Source organism: Homo sapiens, chromosome 10, assembly GCF_000001405.40.
Source record: "Homo sapiens chromosome 10, GRCh38.p14 Primary Assembly".
NCBI classification, from domain to species: domain Eukaryota; kingdom Metazoa; phylum Chordata; class Mammalia; order Primates; family Hominidae; genus Homo; species Homo sapiens.
Genome location: NC_000010.11, coordinates 114,885,899 through 114,903,206, shown reverse-complemented (window position 1 = coordinate 114,903,206; position 17,308 = coordinate 114,885,899). Strand labels below are relative to the sequence as shown.

General features: G+C 40.5%; 1 protein-coding gene and 1 pseudogene across 1 annotated transcript in view; both read right to left on the bottom strand.

Annotated features, from left to right (window-relative positions):
* RPL15P13 (ribosomal protein L15 pseudogene 13) lies at nucleotides 1,813–2,542 on the bottom strand (annotated as a pseudogene).
* FHIP2A (FHF complex subunit HOOK interacting protein 2A) overlaps nucleotides 3,375–17,308 on the bottom strand; it is a 78,053-nt gene continuing 64,119 nt past the window's right edge. Inside the window, exon 17 of the mRNA NM_001135051.2 lies at nucleotides 3,375–3,717. Coding sequence (NP_001128523.1) covers nucleotides 3,693–3,717 — 25 coding nt within the window. The 3' untranslated portion in view covers nucleotides 3,375–3,692. The remainder of the gene's footprint in view (nucleotides 3,718–17,308) is intronic.

The window sequence follows — 17,308 nt, the reverse complement described above, 5'->3', positions numbered from 1 at the left end:
GCTACTTCTTGTTTTTTTAGGATACTCTTTAATGTTAATTTAGTGTTTGAAAAGTAAGAAATGACATTGAAATAATTATTAAAAGCAAGTTTTTTTAAATAAATCCATATGTTTGATAAATTTGGAGAATTGCATATTTGGCAAATTATCATTGGCTAAATTAAATTTCTGTAAATTGGCATTTGGCAAGTTGATTTTCAGATAATTCACTCAGAAATTATTCAGTTTCCATTAATGAAGAAAGAACATTACAAAGAAAAAACAAAAAATAAATAAAATAAAAATAAATTTAAAAAGAAAACAAAAAAAGAAAGAACATTGACATAAATGTAGAACATGTATATTGAATTCAAGCCTTTTCTTTTTGAGAAAAACCTGCTTATAGATTTAATTTGGTTTTAAAGCTTCCAATCATCAAAGTTGTCAGGCATCTCTTTATATGGTTTTATAAAATTAAAAAATGTCATAGTTTCTGCTATTCTTTCAGGGCAGCCTTTTAAAAAAAATGTTCACCTCTCATAAATAATATTTTCCTAGGATGAGAACTCAATTACTAAGGAGAAGAGTTAACATCAATTCAACAGAGACATGCTTTGTTAGTGCTTCTCAATGCCTTCCTGGATTTTTTTCTCCAGTAAAGTTCCTGGTATACTGCCGGATGACTACCCAAAATGCAGTTACAATTGTGGGATTTTATGATTTAAAAGTAATTTAAAAATCAATTCCCTTTGCCGTTTACTCTAAGAGACAATTATTGCCTGGTATTGTTTTGAAATGTGGTCAGATAAAAGAAAAAAGAAGCTTTCTCTGGCCCTCTCCATCCACCAAGTCAGAGGTTATACTTTCCACTCAAGTTCCATTTTATGAGAATGGCAAATATTTGTGGTATGTCTTTGCTGTTTCTCTTTTTCTCCCCCTCCCTTTCTGAAGCAGTGCAAAGAAGTTGCTTGTGAATTTTTGCCCTTTCTATTCTACATTTTTCTCAAGTATTTCTATCTTTTCTTGTCCCTGTCTGCATTTTACTTTTCTGCACAAATACCAACTAAAATGAGTATATTTTAAGAAAAGTAGGAGCAGTATCATCTTTACAAAGGAATTAAATGTGCTTGAAATTCCAGTGTCTTTCCTCACCCAGGATAAAGCAGAATGACAGATTATTTGAGTTATACACTTTGACTTAGAAGACAAACATTTCCTCTAAACAGGTGACTCCAAATTTCTCATTATTCTTATTACAACATTTTGGGGGTAACACAGATTTTTTTTAATAAATAAATAAATAAATAAGTCCACCAGTGTGGTAGGTTAAATAATGCCCTCCTCCAAGATGTCCACATCCTAATCCCTGAAACCCGTGAATTTGTTATCTTACATGGTGAAGGCTCTTTGCAGATGTGGCTAAATTAAGGGGTTTGCAATGGGGAGATTATCCTGGGTGGGCCCAATGTAGTCAAATGGGTCCTTATATGAGGTAAGAAGGAAGCTCAATATCAAAAAAGAAGATGTGGTGATGAAAGCAGGGGTTGGGATGATGCCACTTCCGGAAGGGGGCCCTGAACCAAGGCATGGGGACAGCTTTTGGTAGCTGGAAAAAGCAAGGAAGCCAATTCTCCAGCAGGAACACAGTTCTGCCAACCCACTGGTAACTTCTGACCTCTGTATGAGAACAAAGTTGTGCTGTTTCAAGTCACTAACTTTGTTGCATTTTGATTATAGCAGCAATAGGAGACTAATACAACTGGAATATAAGAGGAACTTTCCATTGGAGTTCTTTTTAAAGAGTAGGGCCTCTTTAAAGAAATATTTTTTTTGGACTGTCCTAAATTGTGTATTAGGAAGGAATTTTACAAACTTTACTTATATCAGCAGTAACGGTGGAGCTGGAGAGTATTGTGTCTTCTCCACGCTGCACGGCGAGAACCACCAACAGTGTGGTGGAACTTATGGCCCTTTCCAAGGCCACGGCTCTTTTGGCCTGCAGATGTCAGCCCACACATCTCCCTGTGCTTGTGGATTGGTTTGGTGATCCACTGGGTGTCAGGATTTCTTCCGATGGCTTTATGGAATGGATCAATGAGGATAACCTCAGAAAATTTGTATGTGGAATCTTCACCAACCCAGTAAGAATTCAGGACTCTTAGAGCCCCACAGTGGCATCCGGCTCGCTCCTCTGCAACAGACTGAAGGTTTCGGGCAAACTTTAGCTGGTTAACACCGTGATGGACAGGCTTGCTGTAAGTTGCACCCTTGGAACTGGGCGTTTTTGGCCACCACGGCGCACACGAATCCTACATATAACATAACCTTGCTTGGCCTTGTAGCGCAGTCAGCCAGCTTTATGAGGCCTGCTGCGGTGGAGCCTGGTGGGGCGGTGAGCCCTGTGGACAGCAGAGAGCTGGCAGTACTGCCAGCAGTGGACCCTCAAAAGAAAGTGCATGACATCACACTGCTTCTTCCTGCATAGCTCCTGGATGTGCTTGTATGCATCCACCTTGGTTTAATGGATGGCTGCCGCCAGGTGGAAAGGAAAGAGCCTTTCTCCACTAAAGAAATATTTTTACACCTTTTTTTGAGGACATTTTTTAAAAAATTAACTCCTCCACAGTTACTGCTCATAAATTCTCTTTCCTTTGGGAATTTTTGTTCCCAAGAGAAATAGTACAACCTTAGAGCAACTGAGCAAAGTTAGGCCGACTCTGAGAAGTTAGGCCAAGTTGAAGCACCACCCCAGGGCTCAAGCAATTAAAAGACCTAAGGCTTCACGTCATGGTTGGATCTGAGATCTCAAATTCTATCATTAGGTTGTTTTTCTTCTCTCTGCTCGCAAACAAGCTCTCTTCCATATGCCAAGCATGATGGCCATGAAATTCAATACACATCGAATTAACTTAGGAACCCCTGAGGAAAAAGGACTCAGGATCACTATGGCAGAAAGGTCCCAGGAGGACTCCAATTGACCTAGCTTGGATCACATGATCAAGCTAGATTCATCACTGTGGCCAGGGAGATGATATACCCTGATTGGCTGGTCTGAGAGATGAGCCTGCCCCTGTGGCAGGAAGTTGGGTCAGCTTTAACCAAACCTCGCAGAATGGGTTCCCCACAGAAATTAGAGAGTTAAAAATTAATATCAATGAAAAGCAGAGACAAAAGACCATGTAATTGTGGAGGGGGAGAGAGAGAAAAAAAAGAAAAGACTCTCTTATGACTTTCTAGTTCTTGGATATAATTCTTCATGACACCTAGCCACATTGCCTGTGGATTCAGGAGTATCCTGCATGCTTCTGATAAACTTTCTCATTTCTTAAGTCAAGAGTATTTATATTCTTGGTATCCAAATGATTCCCAACCAAGAAAAACCAAAGTAATACATCTTTAATGAACCAAAGTATCAGGTGATGTTTTATTGATAACAGTATTTTTTATACTTGTGGTGGAATTCTTTTTCCCAGTAATAGCCCCCTGATTTTCTTTGGGGAAACACTCTGGATTCCCTTGTTTTGGATGAGCCTGGTCAAGCCAAAGTTCTGGGCATGGGATAGGTGATTCAGGTCTGCCAATCAGCCTGGGGCCACCAGGATTGGTTCAAGGGTGGGCAGTTGATCCAAGGCCCAAGATTTTTTGTGGAAACCATCGAGATTCTTTTGGCTGAGCTTGAAGCTTTGAGGACATAAGAGACTCTGGAATCCCTCTTACCACCATGAAGGCAACGTCTGCCTGAGGATAAAAGAAAGAAGATCAGGAAATGAAGGTAAGACGGCTGATCCCTGAGGATGTAGCCTGAGCATACGGATCTAACTATGTGCTTAACCAACTCCTGGACTTTCAACTATGTAAACCAATACATATTATTTTGTGCTTACACTAGCTTAAGTTAGATTTCAGTCACTTACCACAGAAAAAGTTTTTACTAATATTTTAACTTATATATCTTTTCAGTTAGTGTTTCAGTTATACTTGCATCCATAATGTATTGCTATGCAACAAATCACCCCTAAATGTAGGGTCTTAAAATAACAATGTTTTCTTTCTGTGATTCTGTGGGCTAAATGAGTGAGTCTTCTGTTGGCCTTGCTTAGGCTTACCCGTGAAGCTGCACCCCACTGGTCTACCAGCTTAGGGCTGGGCTTCACTCAGCATGTGGTTGTCCATCCTCTAGGAGGCTAGACTATTCCTCTTCACATGGCAATGTCAGGGCAGTGTTCAGGGGCACATGTCAGTATACAAATGCTTACCAAACTTCTACTTATATCATGTGTGTAGATGTCCATTGGCCAAAACAAATGTTATGACCAATCTTAGCATCAGTGATTCATGCTATAAAGTAGCATGAATAAAAGAAGGATGATACATTGAGACCATTTATACAATGATTTACCAAATTCTTAAAAAATTTCTAAGTGCTTCTCTGTGCATTAGCTTATTTAAGCATCATAATAACCCTGTGAAATACTCAAAATCAATATCATTTTTGTATCAGTCAGGCTGCAATCAGGAGAGAGAAATACCATCAGAAATTTAACGAGAAAAAATGTAATATAAAGAGTTATCAACTGGTAATAAGGAACTAGCAACTGGGACTGGGAGGAGATAAAAGAGAACTCTGAAGAATAACCTAAGAGTCGGGGAGAGTGACCAAGAAAAGAACAAACTTGGAAGGTAGGTCAAGTCTCACACCTTGTGGCAGGTAGGAGTGTGCCTGTTGCCCAGTAGATAGAGGAGAAGTTTGTTGAGTTGTCCCAGGCCAGAGCTGGTTATCAGCTGGTGGGCTGAGGCTGGTGAGCAGGGAACCATGAGTCTCTCACCAGTGTGCCAGCCAAACTTGCAAGAGTATGAATGTCCCTGGCCATTCTATATACGTGCCATGCATCCTATGTGCCATAGGAGCAAGTGGGAAAGAATAACACTGGAACTGGAAAAAGAAGCCTCTTGCACCTGCAGAGTCCCTATGGCACTCTCTATTGACAAAGCTGTACACAGTGCTGGCTGACAGAGGTCAACATGTATAGGGTCCAGCTCCACAGTATCACAAAGCAGAACAACAAAGAGAACTGAAAAGCGATCAGTTGAAAAGGGGCACTGTCCATCTCTTTGGCTTCTTCGCTTCCATATGCACCCTTTTACAAACATTTGAACTCCTTCATGAAAACAAAACACCTCTATGTTTTCACCTAACATAATACAGCTTCCCTTTGTAAAAATGAACACGTGTTCACCATTTCCTCAAAATAAGGAAACACACAATCCCAATAGTAATAATTCTCAAGTTCAGTCACAGTCCCAATGAATTTTTGTTTGTTTTTGAGATAGAGTCTTGTCATCCAGGCTGGAGTGCAGTGGCGCAATCATGGCTCACTGCAGATTTGACCTCCCAGGCTCAATCAATCCTCCCACCTCAGCCTCCTGAGTAGCTGGGACTATGGTGTGCACCACCAAGCCTGGCTAATTTTTGTACTTTTTGTTGAAACAGCGTTTTGCCATGTTGCCCAGGCTAGTCTCAAACTCAGGGGCTCAAGCAATCTGCCCATCTTGGCCTTGCAAAGTGATGGGATTACAGGGTGTGCCAATGCGCTGGGCCCCAGTGAATATTTTGTTACCTGAACACTAAATTATAAAGTTAACCTCCAACAATTTAGATATAAAATAACAGTGGGAAGGAGAGAAAAGAATATTTTTATAATATACAAATGAATATATACTGTTTGAAATGCTTATTTAGTAATAAAATGCTTGTGCCCCAGTGCCGTAAAGAAATAGCATTTGAACATACATTTAATTTCCTCAGCAAGGCCATTTTGACTTTCTGCAGAAAGGGTACACTTGCCAGCAGTTTTGCCACGAAAGTACACCGAATAAAGGGTCATTTATAACCTGACACATCCACCCTACTGCTATGTCCGGTTTCCATTGGCTGGAACGAGACCTCACATTCTCTATTTGTCCCAATTGGCTAGCAACTTAGAACTTTCTAAAAGAGGCAAAGGCAGAGAAGAACAAAGGAAGGAGGAAGTAACTTGGGGAATGCTGAGAAAGGTAAAAGCACCGCCAAATATGGAAGAGGAACAGGCTATGACCTAATGCTTGCTTGGACCAGTATAAGCATGCCAGGGCAAATATTAAGGCTAAATTGTGGGAGCTAAGAACATAAAGTACATTGATTTTTTTTTATTACGGCTAGCAGATATTTAAGAATGTTAGCACAGGTCTTTAAATAAATTTTGCTTCTAAGAGAAGTTACTATATTCCTAATTAGTCAGGGAGGAGAGTCTCTTTGAAGAGGAACCTTTACTTTACTTTTTACATACACATATAACAAGTAAGGAGAAAATCTGCAAAGCTACTGTGAACCCAGAAAATCTGGGACAGGTCTCAGTTAATTTAGAGAGTTTATTTTGCCAAGGTTGAGCACACAGCCTCAGGAAGTCCTGATGACCTGTGCCCTAGGTGGTCAGGGCACAGCTTGGTTTTATACATTTTAGGGAGACAGGAGACATCAATCAATATGTGTAAGAAGTACATTGGTTCGGTCTGGAAAGGTGGGACAACTTGAAGCAAAGGCAGGAAGCGGGGAGGGGCTTCCAGGTCACAGATAGGTGAAACACAAACGGTTGCATTCTTTTGAGTTTCTGATGAGCCTTTCCAAAGGAGGCAATCAGATATGCATCTATCTCAGTGAGCAGAGGGATGACTTTGAATAGAATGGGAGGCCTGTGGGCCCTAAGCAGTTTCCAGCTTGAGTTTTCCTTAGTGATTTTGGGGGCCTAAGATATTTTCCTTTCACATGACCACAGTCCTGATTTCTGTAAGATGCCATGGAATAATCTATGATTTCCTCCTCCCAGAATCCATCCTATATTCATTTTACCCTGAGGCAGAACCTCAGATGGTCAAGGTTCTTTATCGGGTGAAATGACCCAAACCTTCATTCCCAAAGGGCCTAAGTCCTCAGTCATGTTGCTTTTTTTTTTGTTTGCTTGTTTCTATAGTTTTCTATTACCTTTTACTATTGTGCATAGAAGTACTAAGAGGGTCTCTAGATAATCCTCTGTGTTCCAGACATGGTTCCTCTTCCCCATTGTGTAGTAGCAGCTCAATTTCCCCCTTGGTAACTAGGATCAATCATTCTAGCCCATGGAGTAACACCTTTTTCTGCTGGTTGGCTCAGTGGCACAAGTCACCCCAAATGGCCAGGTGGCAGTTGCATCTCTCAGGAAGCCGCAGTTTCACAAAGCAGGCAATAAAGGGTGGATTTGGGGCTGAGTAATGAGAATAAATTGATAGCAGCACAGTTGTCTCTGTTTTTCAAATAAGAAAACTATGATTCAGAGAGGCTAACTGATATGCCTTACATCATGTGCTACCAAGAGGCAAGGGCCAGGACTTCATCCCTGGTCCTCAGACCTCAAATCAGAATCTTTTTTGCTCGTTTAGGGATAGTTGTTCAGCTAGATTGGATCAAGCACCAGACATGGATATAACACCTAGGTCTGAATGCTACCATGTATTTACTCACTGCAAAACCTTAGGCAACTCATTTAAGGATTCCGGAGCCTCAATTTTTTTCAACTGTAAAGTCAGGATACTGGTCCCCTCTTGACAGGATTAGAATGAGATCTGAATGGTTAAAGGTCCATGAAGGCACTACGTAAACTCCAGCAGATTATACAAAGCTAAGGTATCGTTATTAAGGATTGTACAGACTCTCAAGTTACTGCTTACCCATGGAAAATTTTGATTAATTCCTTAGCAACTCATAGTTTATGATAAATGGCCCTATTAAGGGAAGTTACTGCCACCCAGGCAGCGATGGGGTGATTTCTAAAATCAGCAGAAAATGTAGAGCAAGCGGGCATAGTCCAGGGTGGTAGGAATTGGTAGGGTTCTATGGACCAGTACTCTCTGAATCTCAATTATTTCTGCCAAATATTTCTTTCAAGTCATTTTGGGAAATGGCTCACTGCCTTTTTCTATTTTATTAAATCTAAGAACCTCATTAAGTCAAACTATCAGTGATGCATTGTCAGCAGGAAGAAAATGGGGAAAATCCTCTTTCAGTGTTTGATCATGAAAATCTTTCTAACAAACCCAAGACAAACACATTCCACTCCTACTGTCTATTCACATGAGATTAACTATTGTGCCTGTTCACAATATTCAATCATCATTTCTTACTCATTTAGAGCTGCTTGCATGCATTAGGAAATGGAGAACAGCAGGCTACAGTGTATCCTTCTGCATTCTCAGTGCTAGAAATATGGCTTAATTAAATGCAATTAGGACCTTGACACTATTTTTATTAAGAAAAGAAGAAGCCAAAGCTCTCTCCTCCAAAATAAAGAAAAAGATAGTAGAAGAAATTAACATTTGTTTTTCACTTTCTACTACACACTCTAGGTCGTTCCCAGTTTTTTTGTTGTATTTTATAGACCATTACTCATAGTCCTGCCTAACAAACACCTAGACTGCATTTCTTGCCTTTACTTGCTGCATTGATAGTCCCCACTAATAATAAGCTTTGAACATACTTGATAGGAAAACACAGTCTCCTATGCTCAGTCCAATTAATGAAAATGTCCTTTTCCATATAGTTTTCAGGAAGGTGTTACATCATTAAACATCATCATCTGAGGGATGATTTGAGACAGGGTCTCACTCTGTCACCCAGGCTGCAGTGCAGTGGCACAATCACCGCTCACTGCAGCCTTGACGTCCCCGGACTCAGGTGATTCTCCCACCTCAGCCTCCCAAGTAGCTGGAACTACAAGGCATGTGCTACCACGCCTGGCTAATTTTTTTTTTTTTTTTTTTTTTGTAGAGATGGGGTTTTGCTGTGTTGCCCAGGCTGGTCTTGAACTCCTGGGCTCAAGCAATCCACCTGCCTCAGCCTCCCAAAGTGCTGGGATTACAGGCGTGAGCCACCATGCCCAGCTTCATCCTACATCATCTTAGCAGCTGTCTGTGTGCCTTATTTGGTGTCTGGTACACAAGCACACAATAAATATTTGGAATGGAGGCCTTTGGCTTAATGTCATAGCCTGTTATCAATGAAAGAATCATAAAAGAAGAACTCATAAGGAGGTTCTAAACTTTTCAGATGACATTTAAAATTAACTGGTTTAGGGCTATAATGCTAAACCAAGACTTTTTAAGAAAGTCTTCCCCCTCATTATAAAAGTGATAAATGGTCACTATGGAGGTTTTTGAAAATATAAGGAAAAAATAAGATGAAAATCACCCATAGTCTCACAACCCAGATATATTTTTTAAAATTTTGGTGTATTTTCTCCTGTCTCTCTCTCTCATTAGGACTGTACAATACACAGTTTTGTATTCAATGCTTTTGCACATAATATATTTTGAATATATTTTTCTTGTCATTATGTGGTCTTTGAAAACAAAATTTTCAATGAATGTATGAAATTCTATGTTCGTATATATGTGTATGTGTGCTCCCTCAGTGTGTATATACATACACACACACACACTCCACACACATACAGGGACGGACACACACACACACAGAATACCACATAACACAAAGCTGAATTTATTGCTTATTATGGTAAGGAAGAGCCATGCTGGTCAGGTAGAATCTGGCTTAGCAGAATAATGATTTTATACTGGATTTTGGGGAAGCATAGAGTTCAGGGATTGGAAGATTTTCAGGGATATAAGTAGATTGACGTCAACTCTAGAAATGTGGTTACTCCAGTGAGACTGTTGCTGATTGGTTGGCATTCAGAAGCTCATCTATTAGACTAACTCTGTTCCCGATTGGCTGACTTGCATATGTAAGAGACTATCACTGATTGGTTGATTTGTCAAAGCACGTTCACTGAAGCAAGTTGCATTGATTGATAGAGTTTAAAACCTGGTTATAATGGTACTTGTTACCGTGGTTATAGAACAATCAACCTTTTCTCAGAAATATGCGATTTTAAAAAATTCTTAATACAATAGTTTATCTAATCATTCTCTTATTATGGGATAATTGGATTACTCACAATATTTCCCCTATTATAAATAATGCTCCAGAGACTATGCTAATAATCTTTGATCATATTCCTGGTTATTTTGTTAGGAAAGATTCCTCGAAGTGGATTGGTGAATCAACAGATGGTTTTGTTTAATGTCATTAAAGTAATACAAGTCTGTTACAGAACATTTAGGAAATATAGATATATAAAAAGAAGAAAAATAAAACATCCATAAGCTACCCCTCTCCACACCATATTATCCCTGTTTAATGTTTAGAGCTTATTCTTCTATTCCATTTTTGTTGTTGTTCCTCTATAGAGCTACAAAAGAAACACAAATGAAAAATTCTGGTAGTCCTCCTTTCCAGTTTTCTTTCTTTATCTAATTTTCCTGGATATCTTTCCTTGTCATTACATAGTCTCATGTAATGTCTGGATAAAATGTGTGTTTCTATCTGTATATAATACCACAATTCCTTTAACGATTTTCTGTTGTTGGATATGCAGGTCACCCTTCATCCTTATTTTGTTCAATCCTAATTAGTATTCTTATATTATTTAAAATTTTTGTCATTATTATTATTATTATTTTGAGACAGAATCTCGCTCTGTCACCCAGGCTGGAGTGCAGTGGCACCGTCTCCACTCACTGCAACCTCCTCCTCCCGGGTTCAGGCGATTCTCCTGCCTCAGCCTCCCAAGTAGCTGGTACTGCAGGTGCCCGCCACCTCGCCCAGCTAATTTTTGTGGTTTTAGTAGAGATGGGGTATCACCATGTTGGCCAGGCTGCTCTCCAACTCCTGACCTCAGGTGATCCACCCACCTCGAACACTGGGATTACAGGCGTGAGCCACCGCACCCGGTCTTCATTATTATTAAACAATGACTTATGGCACATATGTATACCTAAATGTTCACACATATCTATGTTTATTGTCTAAGAATAATTTCACAGAAGCTGGACTTTGGGTCAAGTAGTAGGGCAGAGTTTTAAGATTTTTTGATAAGTATGTTGGAAAAATGGTTTGCAGAAAGATAAAAATTTAAACTGTTGAATTTTCTTCACCCTATGAAATACTTTGCCTCAATATTTTTTCTGTTCTTTGCCTATTTTATAGAAAGAGTTAATATAATATTTCTATATTAATTTGTATTTTACTGAGTGGAGGGTTGAAAACTGCTTTCCAGTTTTGTGGTTAATATTGTTTCTCCTTCTACCAATGTCTTATTTATGAACTATGTTATTTTTCTGTAGTCAAGTTCATATTTTCATATATGGTTGTTAGAATACTCCATATAAATATATTCACCCTTGGCTGGGTATGGTAGCTCATGCCTGTAATTCTACCACTTTGGAAGGCTGAGGTGGGCGGATCACCTGAGGTCAGGAGTTTGAGACCAGCCTGAACAACATGGAGAAACCGCATCTCTACTAAATATATAAAATTGGCCCGGCATGGTGGTGCATGCCTGTGATCCCAGCTACTCGGGAGGCTGAGGCAGGAGAATCGCTTGAACCCGGGAGGCGGAGGTTACAGTGAGCTGAGATCACGCCACTGCACTCCAACCTGGGCGACAGATCAAGCCTCCACCTCAAAAAAAAAAATATGTATATACACACACACACACATATATACACACACATACATACGCGTGCACACACACACACACACACACACACACACACACACATATATATATATATTCACCCTTGTGGCATTTCAGGTATCTTATTATTTGCTTTAAATTTGATTTAGTGTTTTAAAAATCTCTGTATTATGGAAAATTTCAAACTTTTAAAGGTTTTATATACTGTATATAATACTATGGAAGATACTATAATAAACCTCCATGGACACATTACCCAGTTTCAATAATTATCATGGCCCATCTATGTCTCTATGCCCCCCATTCTTTCTCTCACACTGAATTATTTTGAAGCAAGTCTCAGACATCAAATACTCTAATCAGTAAACACTTCTATATGCATATATATATATATATATATATTTGTTGTTGTTGTTGTTATGGTTGTTTAGACAGGGTCTCACGTTGTTGCCCATGCTAGAGTGCAGTAATGTGATCATAGCTCACTACAGCCTTGAACTCCTGGACTCAAGCAATCTTCCCACCTCAGCCTCCCCAGTAGCTGGGGCCTTCAAGTGGCACCACCATGCCCAGCTAGTTAAAAAAATTTTTTTGTAGAGACGGGGTCTCAGTATGTTGGCCAGGCTGGTCTCCAGCTGGCCTCAAGCAATCCTCCCATCTTGGCTCCCCAAAGTGCTGGGATTACAGGCATGAACCACCATGTCCAGCCTGTATATGCATATATTTTAAAAACCTAACAGCAAGATTATTATCACACCAAAAACCTCTACAATAATTATTTAATATTATTAAATATCTAGTCAGTGTTCATATTTTCCTGAAACATATATAATATATGTCATATACAGTATATATTTTATATACTATATGTATGTCATATACAGTATATATTTTATATACTATATATGTCATATACGGTATATATTTTATATACTATATGTCATATACGGTATATATTTTATATACCGTATATGTCATATACGGTATATATGTCATATATAGCGTATATTTTATAAACTATATATGTCATAGCGTATATTTTATATACTATATATGTCATATATAGCGTATATTTAATATACTATATATGTCATATATAGCGTATATTTTATATACTATATATGTCATATATAGTATATATTGTATATATAATATATGCAAATATATGTGTGTGTATACACACACACACACATATATATAATCATAAATCACTGGGTTCTCAAGTTAGACTCACACAATCAAAGGTATTCCCAGTATCAAACTCCACAAGTAATTTCAAAAATACAGGTGGTTAGGCTGGGCATGGTGCCTCATGCCTGTAGTCCCAGCACTTTGGGAGGCCAAGGTGGGTGGATCACTTGAGGTCAGGAGTTCAAGACCAGCCTGGCCAACATAGCGAAACCTCGTCTCTACTAAAAATACAAAAATTAGCCAGGCGTTGTGGTGGGCGCCTGTAATCCCAGCTATTTGGGAGGCTGAGGCCCAAGAATTTCTTGAACCTGGGAGGCAGAGGTTGCAGTGAGTTGAGATCATGCCACTGCACGCCAGCCTGGGCAACAGAGTGAAACTCTGTCTCAAAAAAAAAGAAAAGAAAATATATAGACAATCAAGAGACTGAGATAAAGTACAGACAGCCTCCAGGGATGGGGCAAGGTCACTGTGGGGTTGGCTCCGGGAAACCTGGCAAAGCAATGGCCAACACTGAGGCAAAGGGACATGCCCGAGTTGCCCTGAAGATGCTTGAGGGAGGAACGCTAAGGGACAGAGGCTAAGGCGAGTAGGATGCTTGGATGGCTATTTCATGTCAAGCTAGAAGATCCACCAGAGGAGCAACCCTTGGAGGGCCCAAAGGACACGCCCTTCAGCCAGGGCACTGGAATGTGCTGGTGAGGGGGCATCAGCACTGCTAATCCATTCAGTGGTGGTGCTCCACTGCAGGTCAGGGTCAGCCATTGAGAAGATGGTCTGAGTTGGGCTTGTTAATGTGGATAGGGATGATGGAGCCCTGAAGTAATAGAGGTAAGGTGGCTTAACCACCAGAAGCCAGGAGGCCATAATGAGTGTAATGACTAGCAGTGTGGAAGAGGGTGTTGACCAACAAGGGGCTATGGAGATAACTGATAGAGCAAGGCATCTGCAGGGGCAACACAGGTGCCAACAAGGGTGGTGCTTAATATCTAGAACCACAAAAAAAGGCAAGAATGAAGGAGCAGGGAGAGAGAGTGCCTGTCTCATGTCTCCTAGTCAGAACTCAGTGTTATTTTTTAAATAGCATTTGCTGTAACCCAGGCGTATTTTACTAAGGATTATGCAGAGGCGGAGAACAAGCCTTCTTTTATAATGTTTGAGTTCTAGCTGCCTTCTCCTCTCAACCTTTTCTTTGCTGATTCTCCATCTCCAAACTATTTGTCCTAAATTTTTTTGGCCTCATCCATTCTCCACCCACACAGCACACATTAGCAATGATGCGGGTGGCCTCATAAACTTCAAAATCTGACAGCGCAATCTCAAACCTATTGCTAAATTACCTCCGAGAGCTCCTTCAGACCAGCCTCAGCACTTCATCTTGGCTACTCCGAAACCCAACTTCAGAACTTTTGGTAAGCAATATAGATTTCACTGAATGCTTCATAAGGAAATCAAAGGGAAGATTACATGACAAGTCATAGAGCAAAACTTCATCAGCAAACTTCAGACAAACCTCAAAAGTTCCACCTTTGGCAGGGCGCGGTGGCTCACACCTTTAATCCCAGCACTTTGAGAAGCCGAGGTGGGCAGATCACTTGAGCTCAGGGGTTCAAGATCAGCCTGGCCAACATAGTGAAACCCCATCTCTACTAAAAATACAAAAATTAGCCGGGCATGGTGGCGGGTGATTGTAATCCCAGCTACTTGGGCGACTGAGGCTTGAGAATCGCTTAAATCTGGGAGGCGGAGTTTGCAGTGAGCTAAGATCGCACCATTGCACTCCAGCCTGGGCGACAGAGCAAGAACCTGTCTCAAAAAAGAAAAAGAAAAAAGAAAAAAAGAAAAGTTCCACCTTCATGATCTGGAGGTGCTTACTTAAGCTTCTTCACCGCTCTCTACCTTGAACGGTATCTTACGGACACTTTGCAGTTCTTGGGAGTATTTTATGCTCTTGCTTTCGTATCTTTCCACTTGTCATTCTCTCTTTTTAGCATATTCTTCCTACCTCCACTTCCCCAAACTGGATAATTCCTGATCATCCTTTAGGAGTTACAGATTTCACTTCTTTTGAGCAGCCTCCCGTCTCCCTCCAAGTCTAGATTAGGGATCTTTCCTGAATGCTCCTCTTATTATCTCCTCTGCTTACCCTTCATAACAGTCAGGGGCCCCACAGGAAGCAAACGGTACACTCAGAGTTATAGAAACCAACAAGGAATGCTGAGGCATCTGGGAACCAGAAAACTTGAGAAGCCATTCATACCCCTAAGCCTGAAGGAGCAAATGGAGAGAGTGGTGTTACTGACACCCTCGTGGGAGCTGGGGCCATAGAAGCAGAGTCGTCCAGCAGAAGTCATAGCCAGAGAAGATCATCGGCACTGCTAGACTGAAGAAGGCTGAGATGGGGCTGGGGAATGAATACTCTGATGTCCCTCTCCTTTCCTCTCCTTCCAATATCTGTCCATAGGCTGCACCTAACCAGAAGTCAGAGGGCAAGAAAGCCCAGGCCATTCTCTGGGAGCCTTGAGTTTGACAGAAAGATACAGAGAATAGACGGTGAAAGGAGAATAGCCACCATTTCCCATATTAATTCTTTATCACATGGTGTTGTATTTGCTGGTTTGCTGATTTCAGCTCCTTGAAGGCAGGTGTGGCATTCTCACAGCCTGGTACAATGCCTTGTATATGTAAACACCCTACAAAGAAATCTTTAAATCATTCAGTACACATATCAGGTGATGCAGTACACATCGTTAATTCTCACATTAATCCCCATTGCCTAATCTATGGAGAGAGGAACGGAACTAACATTTCCCAAATAATTAACTAATGAACGGCAACATAGCCCGTGGCTGAGTGCACAGACTTCACAGCCACACTGCCTAGGGTCAGGTCTGCTTCTACCACTTCCTAGCTGGGTGACCTTTGGCAAATTGTTTGTCTGTGCGTTAGTTTCCCAATCTAAAAACGGAAGAAAACTAGGCCTCCCTCATAGGGTTTTTGTAAGAATTCAGTGATTGAATATACATGAAATGGTTGGAAGAGTGTCAGGCACATAGTATCATAAAAATGTAAGGAGCTTATTGTTAATGAAATTATAATGTAAAAATATAAGGTGTTGTAATGATTGGTATTGTTACTTATGGCTAAAATTGTGCTCCATATTGGAATAGAGCTGCTTGTCTACTGTTAGAAAAGAGGTTTCTGGGTCTTTTGGACAGTACTCTCCCTGTACAGTAATTTTAGCCATGTGCACCTGGATAATAGTATCTGCTTAGCCTGGTGAATATACCCCAAAGGAAAGTGTTGTGAAAACTTTGCAGAAAATGACTCAAAGTTTTCCATCCCTGGTGCAAAGCTGGCAGTGGTAGGAAATGCATGGAATCATGGCCTTTGAGTTGGACAGACATGATGCTTCAAGTCTCACCTTTCCCCATTACTAGGTGTGTAATCTCATGAAACTTCTTTACTTCTCTGATCCTGAGCCTTCTTCTGTAAAAACAGAGAAAATAGAGCCAGGCAGAGTGGCTTGCAAGTGTAATCCCAGCTACTTGGGAGGCTGAGGCAGGAGGATAAAATAAACCAACAAAACAAAACAAAAAAAGGCCAGGTGCAGTGGCTCACAGTACTTTGGGAGGCTGAGGTGGGCAGATCACCTGAGGTCAGGAGTTCAAGACCAGCCTGGTCAACATGGCAAAACCCCGTCTCTACTAAAAATACAAAAATTAGCCAGGTGTGGTGGCGGGCACCTGTAATCCCAACTACTTGGGAGGCTGAGGCAGGAGAATTGCTTGAACACGGGAGGTGAAGATTGCAGTGGGCCGATATCACACCACTGCACTCCAGCCTGGGTGACAAAGCGAGACTCTGTCTCAAAAAAACCCAAAAACCAAAACACAAAAATAGCAAAATAGCATCTACTTTGCAGAATTATCTGACAATTAAATAAAATAAAGCACGCGTTAACATCTAAGGCCATATTTGGCCCACTATAGACTGTTTCTGTTTTTTTTTCTTTCAGAGAAAACTTTAAAAGGCACTCTACAGATAAAAAAAAAATTAAAAAAAATAGCCAAATAAATAGTTACCCAACATCCACAATCATGGACTCCAAAGTGTGCTCCTGTTGTTCAAGAGCCACGTCCCCCACATAATAATTGGGTGGCCTTTGGCGAGTTACTTAATTCTTGGTGTTTTAGTTTCCTCATCTGTAAAATGGGGATAATAATAGTAACCATCTCATAGAGTTGTTCTGAACATAAATAATCTATAATATGTGATGTGCTTAGAATAATGCCTAGCTCTTCATAAGTGTTAATTCCTCCTCCTCCTCCTGTTACTGTAGTTGTTATTTGATCAAGGGACTAAATTAGGCACTAGAGGAGACACTAAGACGCTTTATTCCATGCCACTGCCATCAAGAGGTTGTGATCTTCCACCTGAGAAGCCGCTTTAAGGGAACCATGTCCATGTCACCCTTTTACGTTAAAGGAAAGTTTTCTTTGACAGCCTTCAACCTAGGTAAACTCTCAGGGTAA